Raw genomic sequence first — 23,977 nt, forward strand, 5'->3', positions numbered from 1 at the left:
TATCTATGGCCAAATATTTTTCCTAAAGCATTGAAAGATCTCATGCTTAGACTCAACATTTTTTAATAGGAAGAATAAAGAAAAGTAGTATTTATTACCGACTATGTTTCAGGCCTCCTTTTAAGTTCTTTACATGCATTAACTCATTTGTTCTTCAAAATAATCTAATGTAGTAGATAATATTAGATACTGTTATTATCATCTTAGAGAAAACAGGCACAAGAAGCTTAGTGTCATGCTCAAAGCTTTGCAGTACATAAATAATGCAGACAAATTACTTAAATTTAAGATATATACATATATAGTATATATAACTATATATGTAGTTGTCTGTTGGAGTCAGTCTGTTGAAGATATACATATTCATTTCAAATTATATATAAAAATATGATATACATGTATATACATGTAGACACACACAGTTGCAGACAACAAAGAACATTTTGGGTCATTTGTGGTAACTAGGAAATAACTGTTAATGACAAAAGACAGCTAATGTATTTAACAATAAAAGAATTTATCTGTGCAAGAATGTGTTGTTTAGGCTGGGCACAGTGGCTCATGCATGTAATCCTAGCACTTTGGGAGGCTGAGGCAGGCTGATCATCTGAGGTCAGGAGTTCAAGACCAGCCTGGCCAACATGGTGAAACTCTATCTCTACTAAAAATACAAAAAATTAGCTGAGTGTGGTGGTGGGTGTCTGTAATCCCAGCTACTCGGAAGGCTGAGGCAGGAGAATTGCTTGAACCCAGGAGGCGGAGGTTGCAGTGAGCTGAGATTGTGCTGCTGCACTCCAGCCTGGGCAACAGAGTGAGACTCTACCTCAAAAAAAAAGAAAAGAAAAGAAAAAGAATGTGTTATTTAGTGTAAAATTAAAATACAGATTTGGGGATTTGGGGACCCTTGTGTATAATTACATGGTCTCGCATGAAGTCTCCTAACCAAAGATTGGGAATGCTAATGTAGCTCTTAGTCACTGTCTCAGCTATCATTATTCACGTTACCTCTTTAGGTTCTTATTTTTTCTTTGTTTTCATGTGTTAATTTCATGTCATTTGCCCTTCACTAGTCCCTCTATTTTTCCATCATACTTTGTTGATATGTATTTCTCACAAACCAATACAAAAGAGTAGGAAAATATTTTTGTCTACAGAGTTAATCTTGATATTTATGTTTATACAAATTCATTTGGGGGACTCTTCATTGGCTGCAAATGCTCACTGGGCTAAATTTCCCATAAGTATTTTAATGCAAAATTTCTCATTTCATTTGTTGTGCAGATGAAAATTATAGGCTAGGCATGGTGGCTCATGCCTGTAATCTCAGTGCTTTGGGAGGCCAAAGCAGGAGGATTGCTTGAGCCTTGGAGTTTGGGAGCAGTCTGGGAAACACAGTGAGACCCTGTCTCCGCAAAAAATAAAAATATTAACCTAGCACAGTGGCACACACCTGTGTTCCCAGCTACTGTGGGGCTGAGGTGGGAGGATTGCTTGAGCCTGGGAGGTCGAGGCTGCAGTAAGGCATGATTGCACCACTACACTCCAGCCTGAGTCACAGTATGAGAACCTGTCTCAAAACAAATAATAAAATAAAATTAAATTAAAATTGTAAGTACCTTTATATTAGTATTGATTTTAAATATCATTTTATATTCTTCTGAGAAGTCCTCAGTCAATCTTTGGAGTGCATATAACATATTGTAGAAACCAAATTCACTTCTGTGGAAATTAACTATAAACTGACAATAATAAAGAGATGTAGACAAGTAGAATAAGGCTGTTAGAACCAGAAAAAATTGTAGAGATTCTTTCATTAAACCATCTCTTTTTAACCACATAAAGTTGCTAAAGGATAAAATATCTACATAATTAAAAAAATACCATCATAAATTTGTTCTTTAGGTATTTTAAGGTAGAAAATAAGAAACTTAATAAAAATCAAACAAATAAAAATATAATTCAATTTATAGTGAACAAAAATATTTTAAAGGCAAACTCAAAAAAAGCATTTCCAACAATTTTAGAACATGATAAATTATACTGTTACCTGTGCTGCCATTATATCAAAGTAACCAGTCAATTCAGTCATAATTGAATCATAATGACAAAAGAGCTAATTTATTTTCTTCATTTTTTCATTGTAAATTTGACATTTTGTAAAACTTACTACAGACAAAAGACTGAGAAGATGTATAATTTTCTCACACCTGTATTGATTATATAAAAATCAGTGCATTTTAGTTTATGAGTAAAAAAGGATTTCATATTTCTTATGTTAATACATAAGTGTATTAGTCCATTTTCACACTGATAAAGGCATACCTGAGACTGGGCAATTTACAAAAGAGAGAGGTTTAATGCACTTCCAGTTCCACGTGGCTGTGGTGGCCTCAAAATCATGGCAGAAGGTGAAGGACACGTGTCATATGGTGGCAATCAAGAGAAAAGAGCTTGTGCAGGGAAACTCCAGTCAAGGAAGTTTGTGATGGTTTATTGGAGACATATTAATATCATCAGTTTTAAAGTTGAGATGTGGATACAAATTTATCAGGTAGACAAATGTTTCCTGAAACAGGTAAATAGAGTATGAAGAGGTGGAGAGAATATAATAATCCAGGAAATGGAAAAGCCATAGAAGTATGTGAGCATGATGAGTGGAAGGAGCTATAAGTAGTTCAACATGATTGGAACATAAAATTCAAGATAAAGATTGGCATGGATGGAAGTGAAGAAGTAGATTGGAATCTTAGTCTCTTTTGTGCTGCTGTGACAGAATACCACAGACTAGGTAATTCATAATGAACATAAATTTATTTTTTCACAATTTTGTAGACTGAGCATTTCAAAGTAAAGTTGCCTGCATCTGGTAAGGGCCTTTTTGCTGCATTATCACATGACAAATGGCAGACAGGCAAGAGAGCAAACTCTCCAGATGAAGCCCTTTATAACATTAATCCCTTTGTGAGGGAGGAACTCTCATGACCTCAGCACCACCTAAACCCCACCTCCCAACATTTGCGTTGGGGTTTAAGTTTCAACAAGGGTTTTGGAGGAAACAAAACATTCAAACCATAGCAGTTGGGATACGATCATAAAGGGCAAAGATTTTAGATTGATGCTATAGGTAATGGAAATCATTAAAGATTTTAGGTGGTGAAGGGACATGATTTTACAAGTAGACTACAAAGATCACCTTGGAAGCAGAGAGAAGTATAGAATAAAAAGGAGAACTTTTGAAGAACATAAGATTACTGGATTGTATGTTTGCAAGGAATACTACTTGAAGAGGCTCCTGTGGGAAACTAGGGTAAAAGTCAGTTGTGCTAACACAGTGGTAAGATAATTATAAAAGAAGGGACAATGAGATAAATGAATGATGGAGACAGGAGCTGTGGGTGACTGTCAATGGAATTTATGCATAATATTTTTCTAAACAGATCTTTGGTAAAATTGTTTCAAATACCACTTTCCTATAAGCTGTCTTCTGGTGATGTTGCTTTATCTTGAAAGGTATGCAATTTCTTCTTAACATGCAGCAGAAGCCATTTGAAAAAAAACAGTAACATATAATTCTTTTCTGGAAGGTTACTTGTTCTTCCTCCCACTAGGGTTTTTCTCATTGTCAAACAAACAAACAAAAAATAAACGTAATTTACTTATGACTACATTTTACTCAAATAAGGTCATAGTATACCTATAGCTGATAGATTGGTGTATGACATGTATTTCTGGGGAAATAGATCCACTAATAAAGAGTACTTTGTAGAATTGAATGTTTAGTCTTTTTGTTTATTCTTTTGCTTTTTGTTTTGCTAACTAGACTATGTTCTGAATTAATCAAAGTTGTTTGACAAAGCAATACTTATTGCAGATTGTTTTTGTCAGTTTTGTAATGCTTGTTGACATTACTGCAATGCAATTTTATGATTATATCTTTTGAACCTAAACGTCAGTGAGAATTTAATAACTTTTCCCCCTATGTGCTTCTAAAATTATATAACAGGTGATTATACTAAACATAAGCTTCAATGTTAAAAAAAGCACAAATATATTATGTTGGGGGATAATTTACTTACATAACTTTAAAGTTCAGCAACAGTGATAGCTTCTGCTGAGGCTTACTAGATCAAATCTTAAAAACTATGTTTCTCTCCACCTTTTTGCTTAGTTTGATAGGAGCCCTTATTGACGTAAAATGGTTGTAGCAGTTTTGATAACTCATATCCTGACATAATCAAATCGAGAGGAAGAGAAGGACTCCTCAGTTAGACTCTTTTTGGGAATGCTTGTCAAACAGAAACTAGGTTGACTGAATCCTCAAGTCTGTCAGGGAATATTCTGATGGGACAGATGTAAAGGAAATACCAATTGGCAAAATCTAAACAAGCCCTACCCACATTGGTCAAACCCCACTTTTCTTCAAACTTGACAGAGAAAAAAGAATTTATGCAGTGTCCTAAAGAAATCCAGCCTTTCCTTTGAAAGAGGAAAACATGGATGCCAGAAAACATAGCAGCCACAAAAATTTAAGCAAATAATGCTTCTCCTGAATACAGACAGAATACCTACTAAAGAAGTGCATATGTATCTAGAAAAATGACCATGATATAATTTTTACTACCTTGGCTAGGAGTCTATTTGAATTAAAACATGCCAGTGTTTTACTCTGTAGACCAAACACGTTCTATGATTTGTTGTATAGTTCTTTGCCAAAAAATAAGTGTGCAGTCTGAAATTCAAAACAAAGAATTTCCTTCTTGATCCACACTTCAAAGCCTTGCTACTTCATATGATCCTTAAAGAAAAAAGAAAAGAAAAGAGAAAGAAAATCACAACTTGCTGGGGTCTCTAGTATTTAGCAGCTGTTAAATTTTAATAGATGTCAGTAGGGTACTCAGTTAAAAAGCAACCCAAGAAACATCATAAAAAAAGATATAGTCTTTGACATAATAGGAGGCATGATTTTTTTATAGCTGAAAACAGAATGACAATTTCTCTGTTCAATAAAATAATTTGAAGTCAGGAAAATATTTAACATCGTCAAGTTAATATTAAAATAAATGGAATATATTTTGCTGATAAACAAGTCATAGTAAGCATTGCTTCAGTCTTTCATTGACCTGGTTGTATAATCATCAATTTTTCATCTTTGGATTCATATCATTATTTTCCAGAAAATTGTGTGCTTATGTTAGCCATACAAACTTAAAAGGATAGCAAAGAACCTGAAAGGTTTGAACTTTCATGAAGTTAATGACATATATCAAATCAATCTAGGCTGAGTCTATAAGAAAATCAGCTCATTAAATAAGATTTACATTTCTGAAGATTACTCAGTTACTTTTTCTGGATGCCCATCATACTGAAGAATCACATTATTCGTATGTTGCCTTATTTTAATGATTTAGGTTTGACTGTCCTTATATTTGGGTACCTAAAGTGATGAGAAAAAATGAGTCGCAATGGAGAAAAAGATGACAAACTTTCTTGTAACATAGATGCAATATTGACATATTAACAAGGTGAAAAAAATCTCACTTGCATTGCCAAAGATGCTTTCGAATAAGTTATCACTATGAAGTTTATAGCAGAGCAGTTGCAGTGAACAGGTGTGATGTAAAAGTCAAGTCATTTTCTAAGACTCACATACGGTATGTTTTGCAAATATTCTACCACACTTGGCAATGTGGAAGAATAAATGTACTAAAAGCTTTCCAATATTTTGACAGCTAGCATATAGTACCCAACTGTTAATGCCAGTGGAAAGTCCAGGAGAAAGACTTTAATTCATTTAAAATTAATTTCAAAATAATGTATGACTGTTATTTTAAAATTATAGAAAGGCAGAAATATTCTAAAGGAATAGTTAAAGTTTCTGTGTACTTACATCCCTTGTCCTACTCCATTTCCATGTCTATACCAAAAGCAATCACTTTTAACAGCTGAGGTCTATTTTTCCAGGCTTTCTCTATATGTATATATCATCATTTCCAAGACCTGCAAAGTCAAGTGGTTTTTATAAAACCATATATTACATTCTTCTAATTTTCTTCTCTTCAGATATACTAGCTCTAGAGGAAAATCAGAAAATCAGAAAATTCTTTCCTTCATTTGTTTCTTTTAAAATCCCAAAGGATATTTGTGATAGTCAACTTTACATTATCAATATGGACACTATAATTTTTATACACCTTCATTTCTAAAGCTTTATGTAAATGACATGTACTCTCTCTATATTTTAATTTCCCTATCTGTTTATAGAAAAGTTATGTCCTATCTTCTTGAAAGATATGAACTGAGGGATGAATAAAATAATGGAGAAAATTGCCATATAATAACCTGATGGCAATATTAAAATAAATTCTAATGAAGATCTTCAAATTATTTTATTGCAATAAGCATTATAATTTTCTTTGGCAATAAGCATTATACTTGTAGTTACTTCCAGCTGGTACACTTAAGATTACTTTTTATTATCACCCTTGTATGTAACATTTTTTGTCATAGAAATTAAACATTGAAATAACCAATGACATATAGTCAAACTCTCTGTTAGGCTGTGCAATTCCAGATTCTAGAGAAAGGTTAGGGGTGGAGGTCCCATACAATATCAAGTCATTACCGGTAAAATTTTAAAGATGATTAAATACAGATTTCTTGTTTTGCTAATTAGCCTTATCCCTTCTTATTGTGTTCTTGTTACTGCTAAATAACTTCATGTTGTCGTCATTACAATAAAGGTCACATTCTGGTCCTGTTACTCCAGGTCCTTCCAGCCAGCTACTCTTGTTCCCAAAGCCCTTCTCCTACTCAGGCTTGCTTATTTCATTCTCTGTTATCAATTACCAGTAAAAAGTGATTCCCTGATTTAAAGGAACTTACTCCTACCCTGACGTTATAGGAACATCATGGTCAAAGATTCATGATTCCACTGACCTAATTCATGTTTGCTACTTTAGAGAGTGAAGTCATTGTGAAACTAGAACAGATGTTTTTCTCTAAGACCAAAAGTCTAAAACATTTTCTTTCAGACCACTGGAGGCACATATCTAGGGTAACCAAGGCAGCCACCTTCAGGGTGGTTGGAGCCAGCGTTCTTGGAGTCTGTTTCTTCAATCCTTTTGTCATGTTTCATTCTCACACCTGGCTATGCAGCCTTGAAGAATCTTGAGGAAAGAATGGACTTAATTAAGCATTTTAAAATTATTTGTATGTTGTTGTACTAATTTCTGCATACATGTTTAGGGAAACAGGTAGATTGAAAAAAAGAGAGTTTGAAGAAATCATTGTCTCAATGTTAGTCCTGTTTAAAAAAAATTCCAGTGATTTCTGTAGTGTCATACTGGAGCAAATTTCAAAGTCTTTCGACCATCAGTTCAAAGATAAAACTAGATAATCTGTGTTCATTTTGTGCTGTAGTGAGTATTTTTGACATTGGGAAAATCTTACAAATGTTTAGGAAAAGTGTCAGAGAATTTCCCTGACAGTGCTTTTATGGTATCTGTAGGTTAAAGTTGCCAGGTAAAATACAGAACACTGAGTTAAATTTGAATTTCAGTTAAACTACGAATACTGTTTAGTATAAGTATGCCCACTACAACATTTGAAACATACTAAAACATATTCACTGTTTTTTGAAATTCAAATTTTACTGAACATCCTATATATTTATTTGCTAAATCTGGCAACGCTATTACAGGTTGAGCATCTGTAATTCAAAAATCCAAAATCTGAAATGCTCACAAATCCAAAACTTTATAAGTATCAACATAATGCCACAAGTGGAAAATTCCACACCTAACCTCATGTGACAGATAACAGTCAAATGCAGTCAAAACTTTGTTTCATGCACACAATTATTTAAAATGCATCAGGCTATTTGTGTAAGGTGTATATGAAACATGAATGAATTTTGTGTTTAGACCTGATTCCTATCCCCAAGATACTTCATTATGTGTATGCAAATATTCCAAAGTCCAAAAAGATCTGAAATCCAACCCTTCTGGTTTTAAGCATTTCAAATAAGGGCTATTCAGCCTGTGTATGTGGTGGTATCCCCCATATATAGAGGATGGGGAAAGATGGTTCAAGCAACAATAGCTTCTCAAGGTGGCATGTTCAAATTCCTCTAAACAGGGACACATGTGTATGCTACTTTTCCTTTGATAAAAGTATAATAGTTACCATTAAAAGAGAAATGAAAAGGAAAAGTAAATATCCCTTACAAATGCCAAAATTATTCTAATGAACAATATGAATCAGGTGTTATGTTTTCTTCTCATCATCCTCCTCTTCATAATGATAGTAACAATAACATTTATAATATAATAATTACAAATAACGTTTTTTAAGACAAAGCCTCTCTGTGTTATCTAGGCTGAAGTGCAGTGGTGTGATCACAGCTCACTGCAGCCTTGAACTCCTGGGCTCAAATGATCCTCCCACCTCAGCCTCCCAAGTAGCTGTCACTACACTTTATGACACAACACCTGGATAATTTTTTTAAAAAAATTTGTATAGACGAGGTCTTGCTGTTACCCAGGCTGGCCTCCAACTCCTGGTCTTAAGTGATGCTACAACCTCGGCCTCTCAAAGTGCTGAGATTTCAGGCATGAGCCCCCATGCTCAGCCACAGAGAACATTTATTGAAAGTTTTCTATCAAGCACTTTTAATTAGCTGCAACTTTTAATACTTACCCTGCTGGAGTGTATGGCCCAGGAAGGACCATATCTGCCCTGTTCATTGCTCATTTCCCAGAAACCCATGCAGTATCTGACAATAATAGGTAGTATGTGTTTAGTGAATGAAAAAAAAATGAATAAATGAGGTAGGAATTATTATCCCGGTTTCACAAATGGATAATGTGCGGTTTATTGATGTTGAGGTCTTTCCTCCCAAACAGAATTTAAGTTACAGTGCCTAAGCAGAAATTCAAATGTGTTTGACTTCAAAGACGGCAGACTGCTTCAGGAATTAATCCACATCCATAAGGGGCAGGAATTGTTGCTGAAGGGATATGAACTCCTTCTGACTTATAACATACTAGCTCATATGCAACCTGCTTGCAAAAGCTGTCTCCTTAGAACCTCAAAACAACTATGTAAGATGGATATTACTATCCTATTTTTAGTGAATAAACTGAGGCATAGTGACTATAAAACCTAGATCCAAACATGAGTCTGTCTTTCTCAGTAAAATGAATAATAGTACCAGTGTGGTACCTTCATATGTAAGAAAATATATTGTGTTTCAGGAATAGAGACATCAGAATACAATTAGGTTAATTTTTTGTCACGTATTTTACATAGATGTAGAAAATAGAAAATGCCCAATATCTGTGTTCCTGAATCAACATTTTTATTTATGTAATATTATTGAATATTAGACATGCCACAGCTAGTTGGGATCCCCTTAATTGAAGCAAAATGCTTTAAAAATGAGGAAATATATATTTAAAAATATTTAAGAACTCGTAAGTTTAAACAGGTACTTAGAAAAATCACTTTTCCTCTAAGTCTACTTACTAGTTCTCTGATACTAAGATACAATGCCATGATGAAGTAGTTCATTTCTACAGACTGCTAAACTGAAAAACAACTATTTCAGATCATGTTTTCAGGGCCATAGAGTGGGATAGCCAAGAGAGAAGGCTGTGTTTGTAAGCCATAGTCCCACAATTCAGTCTCAAAATACCCAAAGATCTTCCTTTCCTCCTTTGCCCACCCACCCACCCCTCTCTAGCCAAAGAGCTTGGGGTTGAAACTAAACCAGAACACATCATCATCATTATTTTTCCCCAAGTTGCTATTTAAGAAGTTTAGACGTGCAGTTGCTTCATGTTGATGATGCTTGCTATTCTCTCTTGGGTAAAATAATCGGATGTAGTATTAAGACTGTCACTAAGAATTGTTCATGTATAATTTATACTCACAATTAAAAAGCATTTTTAACCAAGTGTCACAACACAGTGACAACTAAATTAGACTGTGATTTACATTACCATGTGCTGCACTTGATTTAGTGTCACTCTAGAGAAATTGACAAACAACCCATGTAGAGCAAGGCAGAGGTCTTAGTCAAGATAGGGCTCACTCCCCAGGTGGGAATAAGGTGAGGGATAGCCAGTGCATGTTGATGCCATTATGATTAATAATTAATATTAGAATATGTACAGCAATAGAAGTGCAGCCCTTTTAGTAATTGCACAAGACTACTCTAGATAGGCATAGTAAGTAGTTAATTCTTTTTACAATATAATTAAAATGAAAGTGAAAAAGTAACTGTAGAGAAAGAAAACATAAATATTTTCTTTAATGTTTGAAATTTTTTGAAAAGATGGAATCTTGCTCTTTTGTCCAGGCCTCAAGCAATCCTCCCACCTTGGCCTCCCAAAGTGCTGGGATTACTGGCAGAAGCCACCCAACCTGGCCCAACTGTTTCTTTTAAATATGATGAAATCAAAGTTAAATGATTCAAGTGACAAAGTTGATACTGAATCGCCCCAAAATAGCTTCAAGTGCATTTTTGAAGGGGCCTATTGTCACACCATGAGCTGAAAGAGTTCCAAGGGACTTGTGTGCTTATTTGAGACATGTCTGGCAAAGACTGACTTTTTTTTTTCATGGAAATTCAAGGATAAAATAAAATACATAAATTAAAAGCCAAAGATACAAGGCATGGAATAAGATGGATATTCTAGAGAAATCACATGACTAAATGACATCATAATAGAAATGGAAAACAAAACACAACAAAAATGTGTGGTGGTGGAAGAAGTGACCTGGAATATTAAAAGTCAGACAGAACACTTAGAAGAGACCATATATGATTTAATTTTAATTATTGTTTTAAGTAGTGATGAATTTGGGGACTGTAATGTCTACATGAGCTCCAACTAGACATCTTTATAAGTGACAACTGTAAAATCTGGACACAATATCTTGAAGCAGCTACTAGAATTAAAAATATTAATACAAAGTCTTCTGTGGTGTCCATGTTCAGAAGAGGAGTTATATTTGCGTTCACTCTTTCTAGCCTGGGAGTAGGGACTGTTAGCAGTCATAGATGAGCAGAATCCCTTGCGTGAAAAAAGCTCCAATTCTCTGGTCTGGGAAATCAAAATATCGAGTCATGGCAACTCTGTTTTCTGGAGTAGGGGGAGGGGAGTATCTAGAAGAGGAATATCTAGAGATGGCATCCCCAAATTTAATCTGCCTGCATCTGTGATAGACCTCTGAGTCGTGTATGCATAAAGCAGAGTCAGAGCAGTTTAGCTAAGGCAAAGGATCTCAGGTGAGGACCGAGTTGCTGTCCAAGACTAAGACAAGACAAAACTAACTAACTGAAAATTACTCATGGAAGAAGAGAGTATCCAGTCTCCACGGCTTAATATTCATGACGTCTATGATAAAATGCAGTCTTATGTGACATAAGAGAAGCATGAATAAAGAGCTTATTCTCAAAATTAAAAAGAAAGAAAGAAAGTGAAGCCATTTCTGCAATAGATGACTTAGACACTGAAATTAGTAGGAAAGAAATTTAAAGTCACTATTTTGACCATACTCAATTACATAAAAGAAAATACTTCTCCACTTAATGAAAGATGGGAAATATGAGCAAAGAAATAATAATGATTAAAAAGACCAAATGTATCTTGATTTTTAAAAATGCAATAGTGAAAAAAAAAACAGAAAACAAAATGACTAAATAGAATTAACAGCAGAATGGAGTCAGCAGAGGAACAAGTCAGTAAACCTCAAAATAGATCAACAGAAATGCTGAAAAGTAAATAAACAGAGCCTCCAAATATTGTTAGATACTAAATAACCTAACATAAGTGTCATTGGTTGTCCATCAGGGAAAAAGAGGGAAAGGCATAAATATATTTAAAACGTAATGGTTGAAATTTTCTAAAATTTGAATAAAGATTTATATTACAGATTTAATGAAGAATACTTAAAATGAAAAATATCTGGGTAAGCATAACATTCTGTTTTAATTATTTATTTTATTCTTTCCTTAATTTCTTAATACTGCATATTACTGTTTAAAGTAAAACTGTAATCATTGTCTTGTAAACATTTATAACACATATAAGTCTAATACACATGACAACAATAGCCTCAGTCATGACTGGGAATAAATTGACCTACATGGTGCCTAGATTTCTGTATTTTATACAAAATGATAGTACATTAATTCTAAGTAGACAGTTGTCATAGTCTGTCCATCCTACTGTAACTAGATGGCTTATAAATGACAACAATTTATTTCTCACGGTTCTGGAGCCTAGGAAGTTCCAGTTCAACATGTTGGCAGATTTGTTGTCTGGTAAAAGCCAACTTTCCAATTCACAGACAGCACGTTCTCACTGTGCCTTCCTGTGGTGGAAAGGATAAGAGGTCTTTCTGTTGGCCTCTTTCGTAACACTAATCCCATTCATTATGACTCTGCCCACATGGCCTAATCACCTCCCAAAGGCCCCACCTCCTAATACCATGACCTGGGGATTAAGATTTTATTGTATGAATTTGAGGGGGACAAAAACATTCAGTCTGCATCAACTGTGAAAATTAAGTATGTAGACTGTAATCTATTATACAACCAATAGGAAATTAACACAGAGAAGTATAGTTTAAAGCCAATTGAAAAATTAAAATTTAATTCTAAAATTTGTACAAACTAAGAAAAGCCAAGGAAGGAAAAACAAAAGCCAAATGGGAACAATTATGAAACAAATAATAAAATAATAGATCAATAATAGACCGCAATCCAATTACAATAAATTATATTAAATATTAATTAACTGAAAATCACAATGAAAATGTACAGACCTCATTTTTATCTAAATAAATCAGAAAAAGAATAGAAAATAAAGTGTAAGTTAGAGACAAAAGAAAAAATCTAGAAATTGAGAACAGAAGAACAATAAAAATAAGTTATTAAAACCAAAGGATCATTGACTCTTGTCAGGGGTGACAAGTTAATTCATTGTGGAATGGATAGTCTTTTCAACAAATGGTGATAGAAGATTGGCATTCATATGTAAAATAAGGAACCTCTATCTTTATCTTATTCATTACACAAAAATTGACAATCTTTAAATAAAAGATTGTAGAATCAAAGTGCTAGAATATAAATTGTCAATGAGAAGACAGTGGAAAATATTTGTGGCATTGTGTTAGACAAGATTTCTTGAAGAGCATAGATACAAACACACACAACAGAGGGAAAGAAATGGTTAAATGGACTTTATCCAAATTAAAATCTATTATTCTTTGACAATTCACCATTTAAAAAAATAAAAGGTGGCTGGGCGCTGTGGCTCGCGCCTGCAATCCCAGCACTTTGGGAGGCCGAGGCATGTGGATCACGAGGTCAGGAGTACAAGACCAGCCTGGTCAAGATGGTGAAACCCCTTTTCTTTTTTCTTTTTTCGAGACGGAGTCTCACTCTGTCGCCCAGGCTGGAGTGCAGTGGCGCAATTTCGGCTCACTGCAAGCTCCGCCTCCCGGTGAAACCGCTTTTCTACTAAAAATGCAAAAAAATTAGCCAGACATAGTGGCAGGCGCCTATAATCCCAGCTACTCGGGAGGCTGAGGCAGAGAATTGCTTGAATTCAGGAGGCGGAGGTTGTAGTGAGCCGAGATCGTGCCACTGCACTCCAGCCTGGGTGACAGAGTGAGACTCTGTCTCAAAAATAAATAAATAAATAAATGGAAAGTCAAAGACTAGGAACAAATGTTTTCAAAACTATATCTAACAAAGGATCGTTTCCAAAATATATAAACAATATTTATGATTCAGTAAGACAACTCAATTTAAAAATGGGTAAAAGTTTTGAATGTGACATTTGACAAAAGATATATGAAAGGCAAATAAACATCAGAAAAGCTGCTTACCATCACTATTCATCATAGAAATGCATCTTAAAGTTACAATGACATACCCATATTAATTATTAAAAATAAAAAGACTTATAATACCAAGTGCTGGAGAAGGTATGGAGGAAATGTATTCTCATACATTTCTGATAGAAACACAAAATGATACAGCCACACACATTGAAGTAGTTTGACATTTAATCATACACTTAGCATGCGATTCAACAATCTTATTCCTAGGTATCTACCCAAGAGAAATGAAGACACATACCTATAAAAAGATGTATGTGAATATCCTTAAAACTATTACCTATAATAACTAACCACTAGAGACACAAATATCCATCAGCTAGTGAATGATAAATAAATTTTTATATTTATATTATCATATACTAATCAGCAGTAAAAAGTATCAAAGTACTGGTATATAAACAACTTGTATGAATCACAAAAGTATCAACCTATGTAAGGAAGCCAGAAGAATGATGAAAACACTCCACTTGTCCATATTTTTGATATTCTAGAAAAGAAAAAATTATAGGTACAGAAACAAACCTATCAGTTGCCTGGATCTGGGAGTTGGGATTGAGTGCAAAATATAAAAGGTGTTGTAGGTTGTAGTTTTTTTTAATTTTATTTTTGTGGGGTTCTAGAAATGTTTGATACTTTGTGTTCATAGTTACATGATAATGTACAACTGCCAAAATGCGTCAGAATGTTAGCCTAGTGAATATTTTTGTATATAAATTGTATCAAAATAAACTATGGGGAACAATAAGCTATTTGCATGAGCATAGTCTTGGTATTAAAGAAGCAAGCAATTGAGTTTCAATATAGATTTCTTTTTTCTGTTTTTGTTTTGTAGTTAAACAGCATATATTTAGTGAATACATTCAGGGGCATTTTATCATTTTGATTTCTGATCATTTTGCCAATGGAAATTGTACTTTTAGTATTACTTTTATTTAGTATTTATTAATACTAAATAAAAATTTAGTATTAATATCTATACAAATTAATTTTTAAATCATTTAAAGATGAAAACATTTTCCAGCAGATTTCAAATGTTCAGAACTTGAATTAAAATGTAATTAGCACTGAAAAGTTACTGTTTGTGTTACCCTATGGCAAAGGCTCCCAAGGTGGTTACCCCTAATGACTAGTAGCGTTTAAAAAATATATTTTTATTCTCATTCAAAGTATTTCAGTCTTCCTGTTACATTATGGCTTTGTGTGTTTACAGAGTTTATTCTATATTGGTGAACCAGAAACCCAACTTTTTATCAAATCAGCTCTGAGTCTAGAAATAAAATTAGAAAACTAATAAAAGTAGAGATGTCAGGGCTCTTGCCATTTTCCTAGCAGCAGGAAAATCGTTTATTTAATGTATCACGGTCTAGTATTACAGATATTAAAATAGATGGCAAAATTTATGTTACAGACTCCATTTTGAGAGAATATAACTCAGACATATGCTTTCCTGAAATTCACCATTTAGAATTTATCACAGTTAAATCACATATTTATGTATGCTATACACATAGAACAAAGACTAATTGCTAGGAATCTAAATTGGAAAACCCTATTGTTTGAGTGTCATCTGCTAATATTTGGACCTCTTTATATTGACAAACCCAAAAGCAGCCCATTATAAAAATATGGAGAATTCGTGCTAAAAACCATTTCACTTATTGCAGGTCTTTCTTAACACAATTAACTAAAAGCATATCATTTTCCATGTAATTGTTTCAACAATTTCTTATCATACTTGATTACAAAAGTCATTCCCTTCCACACCCTACTTCCCTCTATGTGTCTGTCATTTGGTAAGTCAAGACCTCTTTTTGTAATATGAATGCTTAAGATGGGAGGATCATTTTATTCTTTGACTTCTATTCTGAATATATCAAATATTTATATGATCTTATTAAACTAAATGAGGGTTATGGAGTATAGTGTCACCAAAACAATAATTATTGAATAAAATGAATATTTTCTTCCTCTAAACAGATATTTATATCATGTCATATTTACTATAGAAAATTGTATTATAAAAAAGATGGGGTTCATCGTCTTGGGTTTAAGTAGAAAAATGTTCTCAGCAGTCATCAATTTTTTCATGAATACACAATTCACGCTAAAACTTTCACATATTTGAAATCATCCCACAAGTCTCATACTTAGTGATATTTTATTTATTTATTTATTTTTGAGACAGAGTCTCACTCTGTTGCCCAGGCTGGAGTGCAGTGGTGTGAGCTCGGCTCACTACAACCTCTGCCTCCCAGGTTCAAGCGATTTTCCTGCCTCAGCTTCCCAAGTAGCTGGGACTACAGGTGTGTGCCACCACACTCGGCTAATTTTTTGTATTTTTTTTTTTTTTTTAGTAGAGATGGGGTTTCACCATGTTAACCAGGATGGTGTCAATCTCCTGACCTCGTGATCCACCCACCTCGGCTTCCCAAAGAGCTGGGATTACATGTGTGAGCCAGCGCTATTTTAAAACATTAGAAAACACATGGCTTTTCCTGAGAATTTCATAATCTGATCAAGGATATAGGACTTATATGTGAAAATAATTATTTAATTATTAATGATAAATATGTCCTTGGGTAAATGAAACAAGAAAACAATCAATTGAGATTGATGTTGGTTTTGAAATTACAAAAAACATAGGAGGTTCAAAATATAGGAAGAACCTCTTAAGGTTAGACTATTCCACAAGAATTTTATAAATTATAGCATCAAAAACAGACTAATAACTAAAATATTAGAATATCTTTCAGAAACATGGATTTGATTAAGGAGGCAATGGAAAATAATTGAATTTAATAATGATGAGGGCAAAACTATGGAGCAGGATTTCAGAGCACAAAATGTCCAAAACAGGCCAGGAAGACTGATAATAAAGGAAGACAAATAGAGCTAATCTGAGACACTATTGCAGGGTGCTGAATTACCCTGATTTAAAGTTGGGGCCAAGAGAACAACAAAGATTTGGAGTAGCAGTGATCATACTAGGCCTACTAAAAGACGGAAATGTTGATACTGCTTAACCAGCAAATCCCTGCCCACCCTCTACCTCCAGACTATATTTAAGAAGATTGGGAAGGCAAGATACAGAATAAAATCTTGGTGACAAGAGACTATAGAGTACAACAACAGAGGGGGTAAGAAAATGATTGAACCATTTTCCATATGCGGTAGCTGGGCATTAGAAGCCCCCACAAAGGCCTTCTGAAGAACATACATGAACCTTTCCAGTAGCAACTAGACACCTACCACCAGGGAGCATCTGCACCCTGAGAAGCTGGCCAGAGAAGCCATGAAACAGCAGGGAAACAATTACAACTGAGGGAAGTAAAGTAAGGAAATATTTTTCTTTCCTCCTCCCCCACTCCCCTTCCTCATGTAATCAGAGCAATTGCATGGAGGTGGGCAGGAGGCATCTCAGGACCAGACCATGTTCATGTTTTCTTTATTTTTCTACCTGCTAGAATGGGAGGAGAACAGAATAAACAGACAGTTTCAGATCCCTGGAGCTGCAGATGTGAAGAGTGATGGTGAAGAGAGGCTGTCTGAATTTGAATTTGTTTTACAATTCTAAACTGGATTTTTAAAAGTGTTTAGGAAGTTGTAAAATTCATCCAATATATTAATCAAGATATCTTCTAACTAGCAGAGAAGAGTGATTTGACATAATCATATGGGAGAAAAAATTAATATTGTCTCACACAAAGTTGATAATATTCTAATATTATAGTTAATTTTATAATTAATTAATTATACAAATTAATCTGAGGGAAACAAATCCAGATAAATAACTGGATTTTGGACATAAAAGAGAGCAAAACTAAAACATGCATACAGCTCATCATTCTGATAGTCTTTAAGATTGTATTGCTATATAACATTTAGAGAGATAAGTGGGAATGTTGCTAGTTCAATTTTATTTAAGTTTGTGAACTTCAAGAAGCAGTGTTATATAAGCAACAAGAAATACACAGCTCAAGCCTGACAGCTCTTGGCTGGAGATTTAGTTCCCATAGGTAAGAATCTAATTGAAGCCTTAGGAGGGATGAGTTGTGTGAAGTAAGACAAAGAGAATGATAAACAAAGTGATAAATCTTCCATATTCAGGAGGTTGTAAAAAAAGAGAGAGGTGGGAAAGTATATTATCACAGAGTGCAAGAAATGTTAATATTAGAAATTCAGGTGTCTGCAAATTTGGAAGTGCAGTAAAAATCAAGGAGGAGGATGAATGCTGATTTCATCATCTTCAAGAGCAGATTCATTTCATGAATGAGACTAGAGGCACCATTGACAATTTGATGACAGGCGAGGACATTCAGTGACTTCATCAAGGAGGTTGACTCTGAAAGCAAGGAGAATCAACAATTGATGTTTTGAAGGGACACAGGAATCAGGACAGATGATGTATGGAAAGAGATTAATGAAAGAAACAAACTGGCAATAGCCAGTACAGCAAGGGAGTAGAGAAGTTATCAGTGAGAGGGTAGGGAGGCTGGTCATTGAAAGAAGCGAAGTGAATATGATATGAAAAATTCAGGATATGAATTTTCAGGGTTCAGAATTTTCTCTCTTGTAGGACTTCTATTCACTAACATTGAAAAAGGAAAGATATGAATAGACAGTGTGGCTAATCTAGACGTGGACATTAATTGGTTTATCTTGGAGGGACAGAAAATGGAAAGGATACTTAACATATAGTAAATATGATAGTTTTGAAATAATTGCTTCTAGTACCCTATCAAGAAGGTCAATATAGTTACTGGTATTGTTCTGAATTATATATTTTACCACAGTAGGGAGGAGAAACTATTTAGGAAGATAAACTCTATTATGTCATTCTTCATTACAATCATTACAGCTATTCATGCAGTCAAAGACGAAGAAGGAGTCTAAAAACATCAAATGGAAGCTCATATTCTAACTCAAGTGGAAGTACTTAAGAACTTAAAGAGATTGATATCCCTTTGAAAATGAGAGGTGAGAGGGGAGGAGCCAAGATGGCCTAATAGGAACAGCTCCGGTCTGCAGCTCCCAGCGTGAGCGACACAGAAGACAGGTGATTTCTGCATTTCCATCTGAGGTACCGGGTTCATCTCACTAGGGAGTGCCAGACAGTGGGCGCAGGTCAGTGGGTGCGCGCACCGTGCGCGAGCTGAAGCAGGGCGAGGCATTGCCTCACTCGGAAAGCACAAGGGGTCAGGGAGTTCCTTTTCCTAGTCAAAGAAAGGGGTGATGGACGGCACCTGGAAAATCGGGTCACTCCCACCCAAATACTGCGCTTTGCCGAAGGGCTTAAAAAACGGCACACCAGGAGATTAAATCCCTCACGTGGCTCGGAGGGTCCCACGCCCACGGAGTCTCGCTGATTGCTAGCACAGCAGTCTGAGATCAAACTGCAAGGCGGCAGCGAGGCTGGGGGAGGGGCGCCCGCCATTGTCCAGGCTTGATTAGGTAAACAAAGCAGCCCTGAAGCTCAAACTGGGTGGAGCCCACCACAGCTCAAGGAGGCCTGCCTGCCTCTGGAGGCTCCACCTCTGGGGGCAGGGCACAGACAAACAAAAAGACAGCAGTAACTTCTGCAGACTTAAATGTCCCCGTCTGACAGCTTTGAAGAGAGCAGTGGTTCTCCCAGCACGCAGCTGGAGATCTGAGAACGGGCAGACTGCCTCCTCAAGTGGGTCCCTGACCCCTGACCCCTGAGCAGCCTAACTGGCAGGCACCCCCCAGCAGGGGCAGACTGACACCTCACACGGCCAGGTACTCCAACAGACCTGCAGCTGAGGGTCCTCTCTGTTAGAAGGAAAACTAACAAACAGAAAGGACATCCACACCAAAAACCCATCTGTACATCACCATCATCAAAGACCAAAAGTAGATAAAACCACAAAGATGGGGAAAAAACAGAGCAGAAAAACTGGAAACTCTAAAAAGCAGAGCGCCTCTCCTCCTCCAAAGGAACGTAGTTCCTCACCAGCAACAGAACAAAGCTGGACGGAGAATGACTTTGACGAGCTGAGAGAAGAAGGCTTCAGACGATCAAATTACTCCAAGCTACAGGAGGACATTCAAACCAAAGGCAAAGAAGTTGAAAACTTTGAAAAAAATTTAGAAGAATGTATAACTAGAGTAACCAATACAGAGAAGTGCTTAAAGGAGCTGATGGAGCTGAAAACCAAGGCTCGAGAACTACATGAAGAATGCAGAAGCCTCAGGAGCCGATGCGATCAACTGGAAGAAAGGGTATCAGCGATGGAAGATGAAATGAATGAAACAAAGAGAGAAGGGAAGTTCGGAGAAAAAAGAATAAAAAGAAACGAGTAAAGCCTCCAAGAAATATGGGACTATGTGAAAAGACCAAATCTGCGTCTGATTGGTGTACATGAAAGTGACGGGGAGAATGGAACCAAGTTGGAAAACACTCTGCAGGATATTATCCAGGAGAACTTCCCCAATCTAGCAAGGCAGGCCAACATTCAGATTCAGGAAATACAGAGAATGCCACAAAGATACTCCCTGAGAAGAGCAACTCCAAGACACATAATTATCAGATTCACCAAAGTTGAAATGAAGGAAAAAATGTTAAGGGCAGCCAGAGAGAAAGGTCGGGTTACCCTCAAAGGGAAGCCCATCAGACTAACAGCAGATCTCTCAGCAGAAACTCTACATGCCAGAAGAGAGTGGGGGCCAATATTCAACATTCTTAAATAAAAGAATTTTCAACCCAGAATTTCATATCCAGCCAAACTAAGCTTCATAAGTGAAGGAGAAATAAAATACTTTACAGACAAGCAAATGCTGAGAGATTTTGTCACCACCAGGCCTGCCCTAAAACAGCTCCTGAAGGAAGCGCTAAACATGGAAAGGAACAACCGATACGAGCCACTGCAAAATCATGCCAAAATGTAAAGACCATCAAGACTAGGAAGAAACTGCATCAACTAATGAGCAAAATAACCAGCTAACATCATAATGACAGGATCAAATTCACACATAACTATATTAACTTTAAATGTAAATGGACTAAATGCTCCAATTAAAAGACACAGACTGGCAAATTGGATAAAGAGTCAAGACCCATCAGTGTGCTGTATTCAGGAAACCCATCTCACATGCAGAGACACACATAGGCTCAAAATAAAAGGATGGAGGAAGATCTACCAAGCAAATGGAAAACTAAAAAAGGCAGGGGTTGCAATCCTAGTCTCTGATAAAACAGACTTTAAACCAACAAAGATCAAAAGACAAAGAAGGCCATTATATAATGGTAAAGGGATCAATTCAACAAGAAGAGCTAACTATCCTAAATATATATGCACCCAATACAGGAGCACCCAGATTCATAAAGCAAGTCCTGAGTGACCTACAAAGAGACTTAGACTCCCACACATTAATAATGGGAGACTTTAACACCCCACTGTCAACGTTAGACAGATCAACGAGACAGAAAGTCAACAAGGATACCCAGGAATTGAACTCAGCTCTGCACCAAGTGGACCTAATAGACATCTACAGAACTCTCCACCCCAATTCAACAGAATATATGTTTTTTTCAGCACCACACCACACCTATTCCAAAATTGACCACATACTTGGAAGTAAAGCTCTCCTCAGCAAATATAAAAGAACAGAAATTATAACACACTATCTCTCAGACCACAGTGCAATCAAACTAGAACTCAGGATTAAGAATCTCACTCAAAACCGCTCAACTACATGGAAACTGAACAACCTGCTCCTGAATGACTACTGGGTACATAATGAAATGAAGGCAGAAATAAAGATGTTCTTTGAAACCAACGAGAACAAAGACACAACATACCAGAATCTCTGGGACACATTCAAAGCAGTGTGTAGAGGGAAATTTATAGCACTAAATGCCCACAAGAGAAAGCAGGAAAGATCTAAAATTGACACCCTAACATCACATTTAAAAGAACTAGAAAAGCAAGAGCAAACACATTCATAAGCTAGCAGAAGGCAAGAAATAACTAAAATCAGAGCAGAACTGAAGGAAATAGAGACACAAAAAACCCTTCAAAAAATTAATGAATCCAGGAGCTGGTTTTTTGAAAGGATCAACAAAATTGATAGACCACTAGCAAGACTAATAAAGAAAAAAAGAGAGAAGAATCAAATAGACGCAATAAAAAATGATAAAGGGAATATCACCACCGATCCCACAGAAATACAAACTACCATCAGAGAATACTACAAACACCTCTACGCAAATAAACTAGAAAATCTAGAAGAAATGGATAAATTCCTCGACACATACACTCTCCCAAGACTAAACCAGGAAGAAGTTGAATCTCTGAATAGACCAATAACAGGCTCTGAAATTGTGGCAATAATCAATAGCTTACCAACCAAAAAGAGTCCAGGTCCAGATGGATTCACAGCCAAATTCTACCAGAGGTACAAGGAGGAACTGGTGCCATTCGTTCTGAAACTATTCCAATCAATAGAAAAAGAGGGAATCCTTCCTAACTCATTTTATGAGGCCAGCATCATCCCAATACCAAAGCCTGGCAGAGACACAACCAAAAAAGAGAATTTTAGACCAATATCCTTGATGAACATTGATGCAAAAATCCTGAATAAAATACTGGCAAACCGAATCCAGCAGCACATCAAAAAGCTTATCCACCATCATCAAGTGGGCTTCATCCCTGGGATGCAAGGCTGGTTCAATATACACAAATCAATAAATGTAATCCAGCATATAAACAGAACCAAAGACAAAAACCACATGATTACCTCAATAGATGCAGAAAAGCCCTTTGGCAAAATTCAACAACCCTTCATGCTAAAAACTCTTAATAAATTAGGTATTGATGGGACGTATTTCAAAATAATAAGAGCTATCTATGACAAACCCACAGCCAATATCATACTGAATGGGCAAAAACTGGAAGCATTCCTTTTGAAAACTGGCACAAGACAGGGATGCCCTCTCTCACCACTCCTATTCAACATAGTGTTGGAAGTTCTGGCCAGGGCAATTAGGCAGGAGAAGGAAATAAAGGGTATTCAATTAGGAAAAGAGGAAGTCAAATTGTCCCAGTTTGCAGATGACATGATTGTGTATCTAGAAAACCCCATTGTCTCAGCCCAAAATCTCCTTAAGCTGATAAGCAACTTCAGCAAAGTCTCAGATACAAAATCAACGTACGAAAATCACAAGCATTCTTATACACCAACAACAGACTAACAGAGAGCCAAATCATGAGTGAACTCCCATTCACAATTGCTTCAAAGAGAATAAAATACCTAGGAATCCAACTTACAAGGGATGTGAAGGACCTCTTCAAGGAGAACTACAAACCACTGCTCAATGAAACAAAAGAGGATACAAACAAATGGAAGAATATTCCATGCTCATGGGTAGGAAGAATCAATATCGTGAAAATGGCCATACTGTCCAAGGTAATTTACAGATTCAATGCCATCCCCATCAAGCTACCAATGACTTTCTTCATAGAATTGGAAAAAACTACTTTAAAGTTCATATGGAACCAAAAAAGAGCCCACATCGCCAAGTCAATCCTAAGCCAAAAGAACAAAGCCAGAGGCATCACACTACCTGACTTCAAACTATACTACAAGGCTACAGTAACCAAAACAGCATGGTACTGTTACCAAAACAGAGATATAGATCAATGGAACAGAACAGAGCCCTCAGAAATAACGCCACATATCTACAACTATCTGATCTTTGACAAACCTGAGAAAAACAAGCAATGGGAAAAGGATTCCCTATTTAATAAATGGTGCTGGGAAAACTGGCTAGCCATATGTAGAAAGCTGAAACTGGATCCCTTCCTTACACCTTATACAAAAATTAATTCAAGATGGATTAAAGACTTAAACGTTAGACCTAAAACCATAAAAACCCTAGAAGAAAACCTAGGCATTACCATTCAGGACATAGGCATGGGCAAGGACTTCATGTCTAAAACATCAAAAGCAATGGCAACCAAAGCCAAAACTGACAAATGGGATCTAATTAAACTAAAGAGCTTCTGCACAGCAAAAGAAACTACCATCAGAGTGAACAGGC

General features: G+C 35.9%; 1 protein-coding gene across 2 annotated transcripts in view, besides 1 other annotated feature; it reads left to right on the top strand.

Moving 5' to 3' along the window:
* The window catches only part of GALNTL6 (polypeptide N-acetylgalactosaminyltransferase like 6), a 1,228,156-nt gene that overhangs the window by 70,827 nt on the left and 1,133,352 nt on the right, over window positions 1-23,977 (top strand). The window lies entirely within an intron of this gene.
* Window positions 18,561-19,173: an enhancer, noted in NCBI's record as "NANOG-H3K27ac-H3K4me1 hESC enhancer chr4:172823942-172824554 (GRCh37/hg19 assembly coordinates)". NCBI's record gives its function as "activates a minimal SCP1, AML or CMV promoter by ChIP-STARR-seq in naive H9 embryonic stem cells {active_cell/tissue: H9 hESC(naive)}" and the evidence as "EXISTENCE:reporter gene assay evidence [ECO:0000049][PMID:30033119]".

This window comes from Homo sapiens, chromosome 4 (assembly GCF_000001405.40).
Source record: "Homo sapiens chromosome 4, GRCh38.p14 Primary Assembly".
Classification (NCBI taxonomy): Eukaryota; Metazoa; Chordata; class Mammalia; order Primates; family Hominidae; genus Homo; species Homo sapiens.